The 19379-nt window shown below is 45.5% G+C and overlaps 1 protein-coding gene, 1 non-coding gene and 1 pseudogene across 4 annotated transcripts in view, besides 1 other annotated feature; 1 reads left to right on the top strand and 2 right to left on the bottom strand.

Annotated features, from left to right (window-relative positions):
- The window catches only part of FARP1 (FERM, ARH/RhoGEF and pleckstrin domain protein 1), a 312588-nt gene that overhangs the window by 234542 nt on the left and 58667 nt on the right, over nucleotides 1–19379 (bottom strand). For all 3 annotated transcript variants that reach the window (NM_001286839.2, NM_005766.4, NM_001001715.4), the window contains exon 2: nucleotides 7222–7415. In NM_001286839.2, the coding sequence (NP_001273768.1) occupies nucleotides 7222–7392 (171 nt within the window). In that variant the 5' untranslated portion in view covers nucleotides 7393–7415. The remainder of the gene's footprint in view (nucleotides 1–7221; nucleotides 7416–19379) is intronic.
- On the bottom strand, nucleotides 12035–12111 carry MIR3170 (microRNA 3170). Its single transcript, NR_036129.1, has one exon. It is a non-coding gene; the product is annotated as a microRNA 3170 (primary transcript).
- RN7SKP8 (RN7SK pseudogene 8) lies at nucleotides 16443–16800 on the top strand (annotated as a pseudogene).
- Nucleotides 18246–18540: an enhancer, noted in NCBI's record as "tiled region #10209; HepG2 Activating DNase matched - State 5:Enh". NCBI's record gives its function as "activates a minimal TATA promoter and a strong SV40 promoter by Sharpr-MPRA in HepG2 cells {active_cell/tissue: HepG2}" and the evidence as "EXISTENCE:reporter gene assay evidence [ECO:0000049][PMID:27701403]".

Genomic DNA, 19379 nt, shown 5'->3' with positions numbered 1-19379 from the left:
AAAATAGCCTTTAAATTTAATCTCATGGGGCTACACTCAGACAAGCACCATTTATCAAAGTTAAATAAAACACAGAAATGACCATGCCAAGCAAAGTAGCCTTAAATTCTGTTTCAGAAACTTTGCAAATAAAAGGAGCCAAAAGAAACAGTGATAAGAAAAAAGAAACGCTGACTTATTTTTTAAAGCTGGGTGAACATGCTAAGTTCCCTCTGCTTGCTCTAGTTCAAAGCCCAGCTGCTTAAGCGGCGGCAAAAGCAGTTCTGGGCACACACACCTCCCTGCAGGTCTGAAAGGGCCAATTAAATTTTATTTGGGTCTATCCTCCTCCTCCTCCACCACCTCCACCTCTTATGTGTGAAGCATTTGGGGCAAAAGAAGAAAATTAAGTAGTCCTGGGATCTAAACACCTTCCTTCCATTATCAGTACAATCAGACCACTGGAGGGACAACCCCACTGTCAGGGAGGGACTCCATTCCAGGAGAGTCGGAACCGCTACACTTACAGAAGAGATAGACCCCGCCCCCTCAAGACCTTTAGTTAAATGTGTATTTCACCTCTTTGCGGGGAGAAAAAGAAAAAGAAAAAAAAAAAATACTTTCTTCAGCTTACCAAAAAGGGCACATTCCCTAAGATGGCTGAAAGAGAAATTAAGAAGGAAAACAGGCTGGGCACAGTAGCTCATGCCTGCAATCACAGCGCTTTAGGAGGCCAATGCAGGAGGATCACTTCAGTCCAGGAGTTTGAGACCAGCCTGGGCAACATAGCGAGACCCCTGTCTCTACAAAAAGTAAAAAAAAAATAGCTAGGTGTGGTGATGCGTGCCTGTAGTCTCAGCAACTAGGGGGGACTGTGGTGGGAGGCCCGCTGAGCCCAGAAGGTCAAGGCGGCAGTGAGCCAAGATTGCTCCACTGCACTCCAGCCTGGGTGACAGAGAAGACTCTGTCTCAAAAAATGAAAATAAATTGGGAAACAAAATTCATTAGAAATAAAAAATATGTGGCTGGGTGCAGTGGCTCATGCCCGTCATCCCAATACTTTGGGAGGCCAAACGGGAGGACTGCTTGACCAGGAGTTCCAGACTGGACAACATAGCAAGACCTCATCTCTACAAATAAAAATAAAAATAAATTAGCCCGGTGTGGTGGCATGCACCTGTAGTCCCAGCTACTAGGGAGGCTAAGGCAGGAGTTTGAGGCTGCAGTGAGCTATGATCATGCCACTGCACTCCAACCTGGGTGACAGAGCAAGATCTTGTCTCAAAAAAAAAAAAGACTTTTTAATAAATAAATATAGACAAAGACAGAGAAAATGAACACACTTCCATAAAGGCACAGTTGCTACCAATGAGCACAAGCCCAGCTCCTGATGTCAACTGCAGGGCCACAAAGAGGAAACCCTGAGCTTTCTGAAAAGACAAACTTCGGCTCCGTCCCTTTTTCTGAGATGGAGCTTATGGAGCCAGCTCTAGAATCTGTCACCAGTGGACACCTTACTCTGAACCAGAGCTCTCAGAGAATAAGCTCCCTATTGATCTCAAACCTAGGTTTCAGTGAAAATTAAAGGAATGAAAGAACTGTTACATTTCAAAAGGTATAATAATGAAATGAAATCAATGTTTAATCATGTATGGGACTGAATTTGTAACACTCCTAATTAGGTCTCCAAGATAGCACAGGCGATTCTGACACCAGAAAAGAACCTACGTGGTCTTTTATGACATACAAACTCATTACTTTTCTCAAAAACTTTAGGTCTTCTCTGATTTCAACTTAAACTTGAATTTTCTACTAATAATGTATTATCAAGAAAATATTTCTTTCCGTCTTCCATTTCCCATGGTCAAACAGCATAGAGTTCAGCCTGGAGTGCAGCATGGAGTGCAGTGAGTTTTATGAAAACAGCCACCCCACACGCACATAAGGCCAATCACAACATTTCCTGCGGCCCGCAACTGGCATGGGACATATAAATCGTGGCATGCTTCTTCACTCTCATCACATAGCTTTCTTTAACAGTAGACACACGGTACCCACTGTGTCTAATCAGGCTTTGGGGGCCTCAAGGTTTGCTCTAAGATTAAAAACCTCTTTCCTCAAAGATTTTACCATCTGTCTGGAGAATTCACAAATACAGTCACAAAAAGTTAATTTGTCAAGGAGCATGTCAACACAGGGTCCTCACTTCCAAAGAAGGAAAGGGGTTGGGGGTAGCCTTTAACATCATCAGGCCCCAGTGCCTAATTTTGCAGATTAAAAAACTGAGTCACTGCACCAGGAATAATGAGTGCGAGGGGCAAGATTAGAGACCATGATTCAAGGTCTGATTGGAGGTGAGCTATCAGCACTGTCAGGAGAGAAGGCTGGCCTGGAGCACAAGCCTGGGAGAGGCCTGGCAGTTGGTGGGATTTTGATCAATGTGTTCGGGGTGAGGATGGCGTGGGTGTTTAGAAAGAGGTAAGAACAGGGCAGCATGGGGTGAGGATGTGGGGCGAGGATGTGGGGTGGGGGAGGGCCGGGCCAAGCTGAACAGGGACCACCTCTGTGGGAGTAGGAGGCAGAGGAAGTCCGCGAATCTCACAAAGGAGGCGGCTCTTAGTGCCCAGAAGATGGGTAAGTTGAGGGTCTGGCGGGCCGGACTCCAATCCCAGCCCCACCTTCACGCTGTGAAAACACGAGGAAGGGACTCAGAAGCTCTTCCCACTTGCTCTTTCCCTTGTTATGCTAGGACAGCACCAACTCTCGTATAGTTAAACGACCGAGCAGAACTGTCACCAGTCAGTTTCATGCACAGGCACCGCTGCGGCGTAGGATATGATGACGAACAAGAACAAGAGGCCTTGCCCTCCAAGGAGTGGCCACTCTACCTGCAAGAGGCCAACACTAAGCAGGTAAACAAATAAGAGGGTGTTCTGGCATGAGAAGCTAATGCAGAAAACAAACCGCCGAGGACTGTGGTTGAGATGAGCCATGGGAGTTGCCCAGGCACCTCCCGGTGTACAGGGCCCCTCCATGGAGGCTCATTGCTCTCTCCCAGGCTCCCCGAGCTACGAAGCCCACACTTGATCCTCAGGCAAAGGATGAATGCTACTTAAGTCTCAGGAGCTACAAAAGCTCGAGTACAGCAGTGACAAGACAGCAACACGAGAAAGTTACAAGGATCATTTCCTGCGACGACGGTCGTAGACGCCGAGTTCCCTCTGCAGCAACTAACTCCTGCCCCTGCTCTCCTGGGGGGCTTCTGGGCTTCTGCCATCGTCCACCCGCCTGCAACTGGCCACCACTCCTTCTAACCCTTCGACAGGCACTAGGTGTCTTTTTTGTCACCTGTGAGCATCTTCCCCAAGCATTTTTTTTTACCAGGGCTGCTCAAAAGAAGCAAAAAATAAAAATAAAAATAAAAAATAAAAATGGCTGTGTCTTATTTCCTCTGCTCTTCCTATAGAAACACTGCTAATGAAAATACATAAACTGAATAAACACTTGGAGAGGAAACCATCTGCTTCATCCTACTAATGTCAGTGGGAACTGTGTTTGTTTACCCGCCGGGTCACGAGGAGGGGACACAGAAAACCTTCCCAGGAACCATCAGGGAAATGGCCTGGGCGGGCATAGGGGCACCTTATTAACCCTTTCAGATGCCCAAGAGTCACTCTGTTTCATAACCTCTGGTTGGAAGAGAAAGCTGCATATATCATAAACCACAGGCTGAAGCTTATTTGCACGGTGTTTTCCACATAAAGATGAAAAAACACCATGCAAGAATTTACTATAAATACTGCGCTTGAACTTTCCACTCTGCAGAGGAAATACCTAAAAAGACAGTCCAAGTTCAACCACAGAGGTGCTTGTGGAAACAGCTACAGAATGGAAAAGATCGTGGAGCTAACTGCCAAAGCCTCCCAAAAGGTAGATCTCTTTAATAATAATTTTTTTAGGGTACAAAGAAGGACGGAGACACCATGGAGAAGATGGTGTGGTTCTTTGTTCCAGGAAGTGTTTAGGGGATTTGCATTTTAAATGACTGCTTTGCCTATAATTCCGTATTTTAAAATAAAATTAATAAGCAAAGGCCCAGGAAATTCAACCCCCAGGGAAAGACACCAGTCATCCCCAAAGGAAACTGCAGGGACTTCTGGCCACGTGCCCAGCTCAGCTGCGTGGCAAATGTGACTGAGCCATGAGAAGTCATTCACTTGGGGCACTCCATCAAAGGACGTTTCCAGGGTCAGACACTTGGCCTTGAATTCCCAGCAAAAAGTTTCACAGCAAGGTTTTAAAGCAAGACTGGGGAGCTGAGTCTCTCACAACCCTGTAGTCACCTTCCTCCCAATCCCTGATGACTGGGCCATCACAGCCAGCCCCCATGCCTTTCAGCTGCTGCTGGCCTGGCCGTGGCTGCTCTTAAACAGCATGAGGTACTGACTCAGAATCAGCTCCACCAATAAAAATGCTGATATGTGACTTTCTACAGCCAGTTAAGGAATACATCTGTTTCCCAGAGGTTAAGAGAAAGATTCTGACCAAACTAGAAAAATTAAAATATGGCCAGGTGTGATGGCTCCCACCTGTAATCCCAGCACTTTGGGAGGCCAAGGCGGACGGATCACGAGGTCAGGAGATCAAGACCATCCTGGTCAACATGGTAAAAGCCCGTCTCTACTAAAAACACAAAAATTGGCTGGGTGTGGTGGCAGGCACCTATCGTACCAGCTACTTGGGAGGCTGAGGCAGAAGAATCGCTTAAACCCAGGTGGAGGAGTTTGCAATGAGCTGAGATCGCACCACTGCACTTCAGCCTAGAGACACAGCAAGACTCCGTCTCAAAAAAAAAAAAGAGAAAAAGAAAAATATGAATGGAGGAGACATGTGAAAACGAACAATGGCATTAATTCTACTTGTAAAATAAACTCACACTCACTCTAACAGTCAGCAAACATTTAATTAGCAGCTACTATATGCCAGGTGCCATGCTAGATGCTGGGGATATAGACAGAACAGGCAGGCAGTTGGACGTGCATGTCATTACTACTATTTAGTTAAGCTCTTACTACATGTCAAGAATTGCTCCAAACACTTTGTGTCACCTCTTTTTTTATTCTCATATAGTATAAAGTCGAGTTTATTATTAGCCTCATTTTATCGATACAGACAGGTTAAATAACTTGTTCACGCTGCACAACTCTCAGTAGGAGATGCTGGGATTTGAACCCAGGCTCCCTTGTGCATCTGACAGGTATATGAGTAAAGTGGTCTGCAGGAAGGAAGAAAAAGCCCTGCTTGAGAGAGTAGGCATCCAGGTAAAACTGATAGGGCTTTTAAGAATGCACAGGAGTTTATTAGAGAGCATGAGAAAGGTTCCTTCCAGACAAAGGGCTTATAAATGCAAAGCATAAGCCATCAGAAATTATGAAGAAAAATCATTTTAAAAGATAAAAACACATTTCTATTACTACTTCTTGGGCAGGGAGTTCCTGGATAGCTGCTAAATAGTAGCTAGGAATGGGGTCTTGACTTTCTTTGGTTTCAAGAAGAACTGCAGGTGAGCACAGTCCAACGATCCCTGGAGTGAGTGCACACAAGAGCAGCATTTGCCAGTTCCACAGTCCAACCCACTCAGAAACACCGTGTAATAGAATGTGTGTGCTAGAAACCTGGGCTCAGAAGTCCTTCACAGTGCTCAACAGGAAACACTGAAACGAAACACCTCACTGAACCAGTCTGGCAACAAAGACAAAAAAGTGGGTGAGGTGGCGCACATACGGACCACGTGTGCCAGGAGGCCCAATTCTAACTGCATGGCAGGGGCTCTCCTCAACAGTCTATGATTTTAGCAGATGAGCAATAGCTTTGTTCACCAAAATACAAAGCTGTCCCAAGTCCTTGAAAGATACAAATTCCACAAGAAAATCAGAAAACACAAAGGTTGTTTGCAGTGCGCAATAAATTGGTGGTTTTAAGCATAGCTGTTCTGAGTTTATCTTTTCCTGAGACATTTAATGTTAGTTCATGTGCTCTGAGCAATGTTCTTTGAAATAAATATAATTCGCTGACTCATATCCCATAAGTGATTAAATGATGGGTTACCAACGTTAATGCCGACTACTAAATTCCAGCCCCTCTAGCCAACAGGAATGACACACAGATCATCTCTATGTTAAAAACAGGTGTGCTCCCAGAGTTTGTTTGTAAGTTGGCTGCTTGGAATTCAAGAGTTATCTTCCTCCTCCACAAACAATATTAGACATGGTATTTGATACTCCAGACAGAAAACCCAAAATACTAGATCCGAGGAGTGTTAAGAGTTCTCTGGACTGAGCCGATGAGAGGGAGTGGGCCTGCTGCTTAGCCAGCCAGACACTCCCACTTCCTCTCCTGCCGGGAATAAGATGTGCACCAGCTGCACGAAGCAGGCGGCAGCTTCTCATCCTCCCGCAGGAGCGATCTGAGGAGGAGGCTGGGAGAGGCCAGGCAGGGGCTCGGAGAAGAACAGCAGAAGTGAGGAGCACCAGAGGTTCCAGCGGCTCCAACGGCTCCAGCTGCTGAGGGGCCCAGGCTGCCGGCTCCTCCTGTGACACCTCCGGCCCCCAGGCTGCTCTGTCCAGGGCCCTGCGGTGGCAGGGCCTCCCCATCTCTAGGGCTGCCATATGGCAGGCTCGGAAGGAGGCTTTTCGATACTCCCACACCTGCCCTGTGGGGTTGCATGCACAGGCTCTCCTGATTCCCTCACATGAAAACACACGTGGCTCTTTAATGATGCTCTCGGGACTGTTCTTGCCAGTAACCGGGACTTGAGTTCGACAGCCCCCCTGCCACAAACACACACGCACAAGCACCAATGTGAGAGAGGAATTGTCTATGACCAGTAAATTAAACTGGGATCCAGCCACAAGACCACTCTTCCCTCCAGTTACATATATATACATAACATATACATATGCACTTAGATTACATATATATATTTGAATGAAAGTTCATAGTAAAATTCAAGTGCCGAGGCCACTGACATCACTATGTGGGTGGTTCAAGCATAAATCTAGACACTGGAGAGCTCGAAACCAGAACGGGTCAGCGGGGCCATTGGGGGGCGGGGAGGGAGGTGCTGAACATGCAGGACCTCCAGCCGCCTCATGTCACTGGCCATGGGAATGAGCCGAACCTCCTCACACCAAAGGCTGTCCCCTACCACACTCCTGGGTTACAGATAAGCCCCCAACTTACTGGAACTTCAAATGCCTCCTGGGTGTCATCCAGCATCTGGATTTTGATGGACACGAGTTTTCCTGAAGGTGTTGGGGGCGGCTTCTGTCCACGTTCCAAGGTACTGATCCCCGAATTTTCCGGGGCCCCCAGTCGTGATCCTGGGGTCGGCCTCTGCTCTATTTCTCCCATGATGAAAGCGGCTTAGAGAATATCTGCAGGAAGCAGTGAGAAAGAAAAACACATCAGAATAGGAGACTACCACCCAAGCTGTGTGCCACCTTGAACCCCACCCAGGTGGGCAGGGGGCTCCATCCCCTGCACAGGAATCACATATAGGGAGGCATCGGTTCACTCACAAAGTCACCTTTAAGCACTCAAGGCATGCAAATACTTTTTGCATACTTTATTCTTTTGAATAATTTTGCATATTGTTGCATATTTTATTCCTTTCTCGTTTTACAGTCTGTTCTTAATTATTCAGTGTCTACAATGAGCTAGGCTAGGCACTACTTTTTACACATTGAAGTCTGGTGGGAAGATGATAAACAGTGCCTAAACCATATCATTAGCATCCATTAATTACCTTTATGGACATAGTTACATGCTAAGTACTGTGGGTATTCTAAAGATAAACAGGTAAAACGCGCACTGCAGAGCTCGGGCTAATAATCTGGTTGAGGAAATAGACATACACTCGCAGACATACACTCATACAGAGGCAACAGAGAGTAGGGTCATTTTTCTTGGTTTCTAGTGTCTATTTCTATTACAATAACCACCTAATAATTCATTTCTTTCCAGCCACCCACCCCCCCAACTATTTCCCCTTTCCCAAGAAGCCATTCTACACACTATACTATACTATCAACAGTTATTTTCCTAAAAACAATCATCTTTCCTCCCCAGATAGTCTACTCTTGTCTAATGACACCCTCAGCTTCTCCCTCCCCTCTCGCTGCCTCTGTCTGGCTCCAGGTCTCCACATGCGTGGCTTGCTGTGGCTGAGTGCTTTGCCCTCTTTCTTCACCTGGAAACTTCTACCACTGCTTTAAAATTCAGTTCAAATGTCACATCCCAGCCAGGCACGGTGGCTCACGCCTGTAATCCCAGCACTTTCGGAGGCCAAGGTGGGTGAATCACCTGAGGTCAGGAGTTCGAGACCAGCCTGGCCAACATAGTGAAACCCCACCTCTACTAAAAACACAAAAATTAGCCAGGTGTGGTGGCATGTACCTGTAGTCCTGGCTACTTGGGAGGCTGAGGCAGGAGAATCGCTTGAAGCCAGGAGGTGGAGGTTGCAGTGAGCCAACATTGCACCACTGCACTCCAGCCTGGGGGACAAGCGTGAAACTCCATCTCAAAAACGAAAACAAATGTCACATCCTGGCATCTGGTGCAGAGCACATGTGTTATCCCCTCTGTGCTCGTGGCTGTCAAAGCCACATCATGGTGGTTGAGCCCACGTGTGTGGAGAAGGCACTGTGATGCCCTTAAAGCAGGAACCCAATCTCGAATGTCCTTTGCAGCTCAGCGCCTACCTAGGCACAATGCCTCACACGGAGTGGAGGTCAATACTGGCTGCTTAACGACTGGACCACTCAGCCAGTATATTTATATGTGGCTGCATATTTAGTGTCAGAAGGACATAAGGGAACGAGATTTCCAGGTGAGATGAAGTGGTTAAAAGAGAGGGAAGCCTTCCATCATGGAGAAGGTGAGAATTGAACTCAAGTTGGTCTCAAATGTTGGAAAATACTTGGAAAGAGACAGGAGACAGACAAGGAAAAGGCACTCCTGGGAAGTGGAATGGCATCCACAGAGTTACGGGACAGAAACACGATGGCACAGGCAAAAAAGAGTGAGAATCAGAGCCAGAGAGTTCAAGATGTATTTTAGAAATGATTTGAAGTCAGGTGCTAGAGCAGCGGTCCCCAACCTTTGTGGCACCAGGGACTTGTTTTGTGGAAGACAGTTTTTCCACAGACAAAGTAGAGGCAATGGTTGCGGGATGAAATGGTTCCACCTCAGATCATCAGGCATTAGATTCTCATAAGGAGCGCACAATCTAGATCCCTCGCATGCGCAGTTCCCAACAGGGTCTGTGCTCCTATGAGAATCTAATGCTTGCAGCTGATCTGACAGGAGGCGGAGCTCAGGTGGTGATGCTCGCCTGCCGCTCACCTCCTGCTGTGCGGCCCAGTTCCTGAAAGGCCACGGACCACTGGTCCACGGCCCAGGATCTGGGGACCCCTCCTTTAGAGGACTTCAAATGCCTGGCTGAAAAATATGGTCTTTACCCTGCAGGCAGCAGGAGCCACTGAGGGAAGAGTAACAACACAACAACAACAATTTCAGAAAAATGAGCCTGAGGATGGTACTATATATAACTAAAGAAAGAGGGTTGGGAGGGCAGGGGCTGGGGCATCCAGTTACAAATCACCTGTAACAATTCATGCTTGAAGTGCCAATCTGGACAGCAGCAATGGAAATCAAAAGGTGATGCTATAAAATCTACTTCTGTGGAAAAACTAACCCAATGTTAAAAATGGTTAGCTACCAAGAGGAGGTAAAGGTCCAACACTGGGCTGGGTGCGGTGGCTCACGCCTGTAATCCCAGTACTTTGGGAGGCTGAGGCGGGCAGATCACGAGGTCAGGAGATGGAGACTATCCTGGCTAACATGGTGAAACCCCGTCTCTACTAAAAATACAGAAAATTAGCCAGGCGTGGTGGCGGGCGCCTGTAGTCCCAGCTACTCGGGAGGCTGAGGCAGGAGAATGGCGTGAACCCGGAAGGCGGAGGTTGCAGTGAGCCAAGATCGCGCCACCGCACTCCAGCCTGGGCGACAGAGCGAGACTCTGTCTCAAAAAAAAAGAAAAGATAGAAAAACGAAAAAGAAAGTCCAACACTGATGAGAAAGTTTGAAATCAGGGCAGAAGGGAGGAAGTAGGAGGGGGAGGTGTGAGTGTGCTTTGGAATGCTCCCTGGGGCTATAAAAGGACATCCTGTGGGTTGTCCTGTCTGGGAGCTGTCCTGTCCAGGCTGGGTCTGGGCTATGGGTTCAGGGTGAAAGCCATTAGAATCAATGAAAGGAGGTGAATGTATAACCAAAAAAGCAAAATGAACCATCAGGCCCAATGGTGAGGGTCATGGAGAAAGAAGAAATGGGAAAAAGAGACCCCCAGGGGGCACTTCTGGACAAAGGGGCCACAGAAGGGGCACCACAGAGCTATCTGGGGTGCAAGGAATGGAACTGTGAGCTGCGTCTCACTCACATTTGAGAAAAAGTCACCCTTCATTTCTTTCCAGCCACCCACCCCACCAACTATTCCCCCTTTCCCAAGAAGCCATTCTACCATTCTATACATTGTACTATAGTATCAACAAAGTTTTTTTTATTTTTTATTAATTTTATTTTACTATTATTATTATGATTATTATTATTATTTGCAATGGAATCTCAAACTCTGTTACCTAGGCTGGAGTGCAGTGGCGCAATCTCGGCTCACTGCAACCTCCACCTCCCAGGTTCAAGCAATTCTCCTGCCTCAGCCTCCCGGGTAGCTGGGATTACAGGCGTGCACCACCACCCCCGGCTTTTTCTTTTTTTTTTTTTTTTTTTTTTTTTTTTTTTTTGAGACACAGTTTTACTCTATTGCCCAGGCTGGAGTGCAATAGCAACATCTTGGCTCACTGCAACCTCTGTCTCCCAGGTTCAAGCGATTCTCCTGCCTCAGCATCCCGAGTAGCTGGGATCACAGGCGCACACCACCACACCCAGCTAATTGTTGTATTTTTAGTAGAGACAGGGTTTCACCATGTTGGCTAGGCTGGTCTTGAACTCCTGACCTCAAGTAATCCACCCGCCTCAGCCTCCCAAAGTGCTGGGATTACAGGCGTGACCCACCGTGCCCAGCCAACAAAGTTATTTTCCTTAAAAAAAAAAAAAAAAAAAAAAAATCTTTCCTCCCCAGATAGTCTGTCTCCTGATCCCTCAGCTTCTCCCTCCCCTCCCGCTGCCTCTGTCTGCCTCCAGGTCTCCACACGTGGCTCACTGTGGCTCAGCACTTTGCCCTCTTTCTTCACCTGGAAACTTCTACCACTGCTTTAAAACTCAGGAAAGTTGGCTGGGCGCGGTGGCTCACGCCTGTAATCCCAGCACTTTGGGAGGCCAAGGCGGGTGGATCACGAGGTCAGGAGATCGAGACCATCCTGGACAACACGGCGAAACCCTGTCTCTACTAAAAATACAAAAAATTAGCCGGGCATGGTGGTGGGCGCCTATAGTCCCAGCTACTCGGGAGGCTGAGGCAGGAGAATGGCGTGAACCCGGGAGGCGGAGCTTACAGTGAGCCGAGATCGTGCCACTGCACTCCAGCCTGGGTGACAGAGCAAGACTCTGTCTCAAATACAAAAACAAACAAACAAAACTCAGGAAAGTGTTAAAGCCTTCTCTTCAGGAAAACCATCCGGTTTCCAAATCTCATTTTGTAGAGTTTTCTTCCCTAACTCATTCTCAGCCTTTTCCTTAAGAGTAGGTCCCCAGAAGTTTCCTAATGAATTCCTTACTTCCTCTGCAATGAAACCTCTAATGCTGTCACCATAGACACAAGGGCTGGCCCTGAGGTCAGCAAATCAGAAACTATGGGATCACATCCACAGCGACTCAAATCACCAGGGCCTAAAAGGGCGTGTCCTTCCATCGAACATGTCTAGGAAACACCTGATCACTGTCTAGGAAACACCATTTACTCCTGACTTCTCCCACACTCACCTTCCTCACCTACGGTCCATCAAAGCCTTTTGAAGATTTTATTCACTCCTTATGTCGTCTGGTAACATAGGGGTTCTAAGACAGGCAATGCTTCTGGAGCTAACACTGTCTGTCTCAGAACCCCAGTGTTACCAGATGACATATGGAGTGAAGATCTGAGAACTGCTTTTTTTTTTTTTTTGAGATGGAGTCTTGTTCTGTCACCCAGGCTGGAGTGCAATGGCGCAATCTCGGCTCACTGCAACCTCTGCCTTCCAGGTTCAAGCGATTCTCCTGCCTCAACCTCCCCAGTAGCTGGGATTACAGATGCCCACCACCATGCCCGGCTTTTTTTTTTTTTTTTCTCCCCAGTAGAGATGGGGTTTCACCATGTTGGCTAGGCTGGTCTTGAACTCCTGACTTCAAATGATCCAAGTGCTGGGATTACAGGAGTTAGCCACCACGCTGGCCCCTTCTTTTTTGAATGCCTGATTCCACAGGTCTGTTATATAAGTGCCTTTCTCACTTCTGCCTCAAATAAGCTTTTTCTAAGCATCTGTTTCTAATCTGTTTGGTTGTGTGATCTCTGCTTTGGTTCATTCACTCATTAGCCTTGAGAGATGAGACCAGCCTGGTTAATCTAGAATCCCAGCCTAGTGCCCTTCACCGAAGTGGAAGAGAGATCCTCAATACTGGGCCAATGAATCAAAGTGTGTGTGTGTGTGTGTGTGTGTGTGTGTGTGTGTGTGTGTGTGTGTGTGTGTGTGTGTGGAGGTGGTGGTCGGGGAGCAGTATATTCATTATGAAGTCAGTTGTGTCCAAAATAATCTTCACAAGCCAGGCAAAATTACTTCTATTCCATATATGTTTTCTGTTCACTGTCTCATGGTTAAAAATAAATGCAATCTCCAGAGAAAACTATGCCATCAGTCAAGTTGGCCTTCCCCATTCCCAGCCCCTCCATGCACTTTTCGTACTTTGGTGTGGCCCCTCCCCCACCCCACCCCTTCTGCCCTGCACTTGCTCAGCAGGGACAGGCCCTGTGCACGGTAATTCACACTGGGCTATAGCTGGGCTTGTCACTCTGAGTCAAGCAGGCATGGACCTGGCTATGGTGTTGATGCCCATCCAGGGAGCCGATGACGGCAGGAAGGAAGGGCTCTACTCTCCCACCTCACCCCAGCCTAAAGGTGCTCAGACCCTCCCTGCAGATATCTTCTCCTTGTCCTACCTAAGCAAAAAGCAAGACTCCTCATCCTCTGAACTGAATCCTTTCTCTCCCTCTTGCCCAAAATCCCCAGATAAATATATATTCTAATTTTTAGCACCTTGGCATTTAAAAATTTAATTGAGTTAGTCATTAACAGATACTTGGTAGCTTAACTTCCTTTCTCTTTAGTTCTCAAATGATCTCATGTCTAGGTTATTTCTACTTCTGGATACTGATGCTTGAACAAAGTATGTCATACTTTCTCTCTGTTATCATACTTGCATGCAGACTGTTGCTGTACATGGAAAAGTCTGTTTAATTCAATCATAAATCCAGCCAAGAGTTTTGAGTTGAGCATCCTAAGAACGCTAAGGGAACATCTCAGGAACGCTGGCAAGTCATAAATGGGTAACCACAGTTGATGCTTGATAGCAAAACTGGTAAGCCCAGTAATAAAATGCCGTCTTCCAGATAAACAAATCCAACAAACCGAAAGGCCTCTAGTGTATAAATATTAACCTATGCTCTATTCTGAATTTATCTCCATTAACTTCCTGACTTCTGAAATTCTTGAGGAATAGTCAAAATATAGACTATTTCTTTCCTTGTGATACCTTATTACTAAAGTGATTATTCCAGACCTTAAAGTTAAAAGCTGCTTGCAAAACTACTTTATTAGTTAGCTCTATTTGAGAAATTACTTTAAAAAAGTAACAACAAAGAAGTAACAAGATTTTTAACCGCCAGAGAAAAGGTAAAAAACTAGAGTTGTCTTGTCTTAGTATCCTGACTTATAAGGACTTCCTCTTGCAATTCATCCAAAAGCAATAAGCAGTAAACTAAAAAACACAAATTCCATCCCTGAGGAAACTGGGAGACATCTGTAGCCCCAAACCAGAAAATGTAACAAAAATGTGCCAAGCTGCAGTGAAGGTCAGAAAGAAGGGAAGGAAAATGCTTGGAGAGGCTGCTCATGGCTACAGATCTCAGATAAAAATGGCGGAGCTTCAAATAAGCAGCAAACCAGTCATAACTTTCTTGGAATAACAGGGACAGGTGTGCAGATTCACAGTAACAGCTTCCCTGGACATAGTGAGATTGATATGAAATGAGAAACCATACAGGCAAGCCATATTTGTAGGAAGCAGTCTGTCGCTGAGGCAAGATGAAAAAGACAGACTGCATTAGACATACCACCAAGGTTGACTACCAAAGTTTCAGCAAATAAGGGAATAGCAAAGGTTGAAAGGATCACACACACACACACACACACACACACACACACACACACAACCTCAAGTCATGAAAATTCCTATTAGTATGGAACACGGCTCTGTCTGCTGGCCCACTGAGGCTCCTGCAAAGAGCTACTTCATACCTACTAACCAAAAAACAAACAAACAAAAAAACCTTTACAAAGATGCTGCAAGAAAAAAGAAAAATGACAGATGAACATCCAAAGAAAATGTTACATGCAACAGATTAAAGCTTTGTCCAAACATAGTTATAAATTAATAAAACTTCATGAAATAACTGATTCCATAGACAAAAACATAAAAGGATTTACAAGAGTTCAGGGAAGCTATGGGAAGACATTAGCAGGAAATAAAGAATAAGGGTGGCAGACCTTAGGAGGACAAAATGGAAGAATGAAAATATCACCAAAATACAGGCCAAATGGGAAGCAGCTAAAAGGAAATATGCACTGGTGAAAATATGAAGGACCTAATGGGAAAGACTGAGAAAAGCAAGCAATAGATTTAAAACACAGAGAACTGGCTGGGCACGGTGGCTCACACCTGTAATCCCAGCACTTTGGGAGGCCAAGGCAGGTGGATCACAAGGTCAGGAGATCGAGACCACCCTGGCTAACACAGTGAAACCCCGTCTCTACTAAAAATACAAAAAAATTAGCCGGGCATGGTGGTGGGCACCTGAAGTCCCAGCTACTCAGGAAGCTAAGGCAAGAGAATGGCATGAACCCGGGAGGTGGAGCTTGCAGTGAGCCGAGATCACGCCACTGTACTCCAGCCTGGGTGACAGAGTGAGACTCTGTCTAAAAAAAACACAGAGAACTGATAGATATGGAAGACAGAGAGAGATGATCCAACATACCCACAATCGGTATCCCTAAAGAAACAAAAATCAAAGAATAGAACAGGAAAAAAAAAGCTTAAGGCATAATTCAGGAAAACATTTTAGAAATTAAAGATACTTGTGCATAATAAATGAAGATATCCTATTCCAGGGATAACTACCATAAAATGATCACCACAAAGATAATTTGACAACTCATTTCCTGAGTCATAGCTGGTCTTCAAACTTTAGGAAGGAATCATTTGGGCAGCTAGGCAAAAAGTTCAAATAAAGTATGAGGGGACAAAATTTTAGAATTGTCCACAGCAACATCCAAGGCTTAAATGCCAAAAACATCCTCAAAGAATTGTAACAGAATCAAAACTTTCATCACAAGCAAATTTTCATTCAACTATAATAGCCAAATTGTTTTGCTATTTTTTTTTTAGATAGGGTCTCACTCTGTCACCTGGGCTAGAGAGCAGTGGCATGATCACAGCTCACTGTAACCTCGAGCTCCTGGGCTCAAGCGATCCTCCTGCCTCAGCCTCCCAAGTAGCTGAGACTGCAAATATGCACCACCACCACCACCAGTTAGTATGCACAAAGTCTTGCTATGTTGCCCAGGCTAGTCTTGCACTCCTAGCCTCAAGCAATCTTTCTGCCTTGGCCTCCAAAGTGCTGGGACTACAGGCATAAGCCACCACATGCAGCCAATAGCCAAACATTTTAAACAGGTGAGAATTCAGAAGAATGTTAGCCAATCCCTTCTCAAAAAAACTACTAAAGGATAAACTTCAGCAAAACAAAAGGTAAATGGTGAAAGAATGAAAAACAATTATTAGTAAACTTTACAACCATTTATACTTTAAGAGAAAGAAAAAAATAATTGTAACAGCCACAGAATATTATATAATGCCTGACAATGTAGAAATAATGCAGCTAAAAAACTGGCAGGGAAAGGAGTAGAAATGGTGAGAGGCACTGTAAGTTACCTATTACCTCATGTTTTAAAACTGATAATAGGAAGATTTTAAATCTGCAAAAACATGAAGATGGTCAAGCACATGAAAAGATGTTCAACATCATTAATCATTAGGAAATGCAAATTATACACACAATAAGATATTTCACACCCACTGTAATGGTTATAACAAAAAAGACAGACAATAACAAGTGTTATCAAGAATGTGGAGAATCTGGATGTGAGGGCCATCTGGCTGTGACATCTGTCACCCCATTGATCGTCAGGGTTCATTGGGCTAGGGGTGATTGCCAGGGTTGATCTAGCTAACCTGGCTGGCTAGGCGGGTGTTCCTTTCCTCCCTCACCACTCCATGTGTGTCCCTTCCAAAACTGTGTGCTTGGCAGAAGAGGACGACCATCCCCGATAGAGGAGGACCGGTTTTCGGTCAAGGGTATACGAGTAGCTGTGCTCCCCCCTGCTAGGACTTCCAAATAAGCTCTCAAGAATGTGAAAAATCTGAAACTCATATACTGCTGGTTGCTGGAAGGAATATAAAATGCTGCAAACACTTTAAAAAGCATTTTGGCAGTTTCTTAAAATTGTAATCATAAGTTTGGCATGAAACCCAGCAAACCCTTCTCCTGGTGACCCCGCAATTCCACTCCTAGGTATCTTCCCAGGACAAATGAAAACATATGTCTGCACAGAAGTACATGCAGATGTCCACAGCCAAAAAAGGGCCAACAAGTGGATAACCCAATAATCCAAATAGTCATCAACTGGTGAGTGAATAAACCAAATGCGATCTATCCATACCAGGGAATATTGTTCTGCCACAAAAAGATGCAAAATGCTGACACACGCCACATAGATGGACCTCGCAAACATTTTGCTGAGTGACAAGAGCCACATGCAAAAGACACCATAAACCTATGATCCTATTAAATGTAATATCCAGCCAAGGCTTTATCAGGAGGATAAATATCCAGAAAGTAGTTGCCTGGGGCTGGGATTCGGAGCTCGATCAACAGCAAAGGGCACAAAGAATTGTGGTCTTTTTGGGGAGATAGAAATGTTCTGAAACTGGACCGTGGTGATGGTCACCCAACTCTGTAAACTGACTAAAAACCTTTGAATTGTACACCTGAAACAGGTCAAAGTTACGATTTGTGATTACACCTCCATAAATCTAAAAATGTCTATGTGTCCGTGAATATTCCTGTGAACACAAAGAGCCTCTCTGGAAGGAGAGGGAGGTAACTGGAAGGAGAGCTGACTCCAGTGAGGCGGCCAGCCTGGCCTGGGACAAAAGCAAGGCAGGCTGGGGACTGGCTTTTCATCAGATGCTCTTTTGGACCTTTTTAATTTTGTACCATATACCTATATGTTTAATTAAGAAGTAATTTGGGCCAGGGGCAGTGTCTCATGCCTGTAATCCCAACATTTTGGGAGGCTGAGGCAGGAGGATCACTTGAGGCCAGTAGTTTGAGATCAGTCTAGGCAACATAGCAAAACCCCGTCTCCACAAAAAATTTAAAAACTACCCAGGCATGGTGGTAAGCACCTGCAGTCCCAGCTACTTGCAGTGCTGAGGCAAGAGGATCACTTGAGACCAGAAATTTGTGGCTGTGGTGAGCTATGATTGTACCACTGCACTCCAATCCGGGCAACAAAGCAAGACCCTATCTCTTAAAAAAGAAAAAAAAAAGTAATTAAGAAGACTATGTTTCATTAAGAAGTAATTAAACAATTTTTAATTTAATCTACTAAAAGCACACACTCCTACCAACTACTCCTGCCCCACTGAGAGCATAAATCGAGTGAGATGAAATCACAGTGAAGAGGAACTACTTTCAATCAAGCCGGGTAGATGAAGAGAAACTTTTTGCAAGAGTTTGTTTCCCCTCTTCCAGTTTTAAATACAAGCAACTGAAAAATTCCAGGTTAAGAAAAACTCACAGAAACGTGTTATTCAAAGAAGAAGTCCAAGTGGCAGAGCTGCAGGAAGCCAAAGGGCTGGGTTCTGGGTCCTCCAACCACTTCTGTGCCCCATGTTGAAAGCAAAGAAGTGTGGATGTGCCATTGAGTGAGGGCAAAAAATCAAGTGTCAGACACCCAGGAGAGCAAAGAGCAAAGGGCAAAGGGCGTGTGATCAATCTCCAACAGCTCCGTGCATCTGGCTCTGCTCTTATGAGCCGGAAGCTGCCACAAAGCCACCTTGTGCCTCTGTCCCGGGGGAGCCACACGCCAGGAGCTGGCCCCAGGGGAGGCTGGGGTGGAGATAAACTAGAAAAGCTGCCAGCCCGGCCCTCCTCAAAAGCAAAGCAGCTCAGTTTGACTTCTCACAAGGGGTTAGGTAAGGGGTTTTGAGAAAGTTCAAAAACAGCTATCTGTGTGGATGGATTTGCTTATTTCCAAAAAGTCTGTGAGCAAAAGAAACAACTGCAGATCAACTGTTTTACATCAACCAGACACTTCAAACAGAGGAGGAACTGTTCGGCCTGTTTGATCATTTGGAAAAAGGAGACCAGGCTATTAACTGTCTACGAGCAGGGTACCCCTATTTCAACAACAAAGCAAGGAAATGAGAATTAACTGCAGAGCTCAAGATTCTCGCTTCACTGTTCCTTCTTGGCAACCATATTTTTTAACAATTTTTTTAATTAAATAGGTTATCTTAAATAACCCTGACAAGTCTCTGGAAAATAAGGAAAACTCAGAGCAAAAGAGAAATTTTCTCATCTTTATCATTTTCATAGGGGTTATTTCAAATGTCCAGTTCTACCCATATCCCTTTTCTACTCAAACACCTGAGTCCAATCAAAACCGAGTTAAATGTAAAAATTCCCAGCAAGGCATTTCAACCATCTGCCATGATGTCTCTCCTTTCAACTAAACCATCTTCTAATCCAGCTGAACTCTGCTGTTCAACACTCTTGTATCTTCCTGGCACTAAGCTTTTGCCGTTCTGTTTCTTTGAGGCAGGGTCTCGCTCTGTCACCCAGGCTGCAGTGCAGTGGCGCGATCTCAGCTCACTGCTCACTGTAACCTCTAACTCCTGGGCTCAAGCGTTCCTCCCCCGTTCAGCCTCCTGAATAGCTGGGCTGCAGGCACCTGCTACCATGCCCACGTAGGTTTTTAATTTTTGTAGTGAAAGAGTCTGGTTATGTT

This window comes from Homo sapiens, chromosome 13 (genome assembly GCF_000001405.40).
Source record: "Homo sapiens chromosome 13, GRCh38.p14 Primary Assembly".
Lineage (NCBI taxonomy): Eukaryota > Metazoa > Chordata > Mammalia > Primates > Hominidae > Homo > Homo sapiens.
The sequence above is the reverse complement of the archived record's forward strand: the minus strand, read 5'-3'. Positions and strand labels throughout refer to the sequence as shown.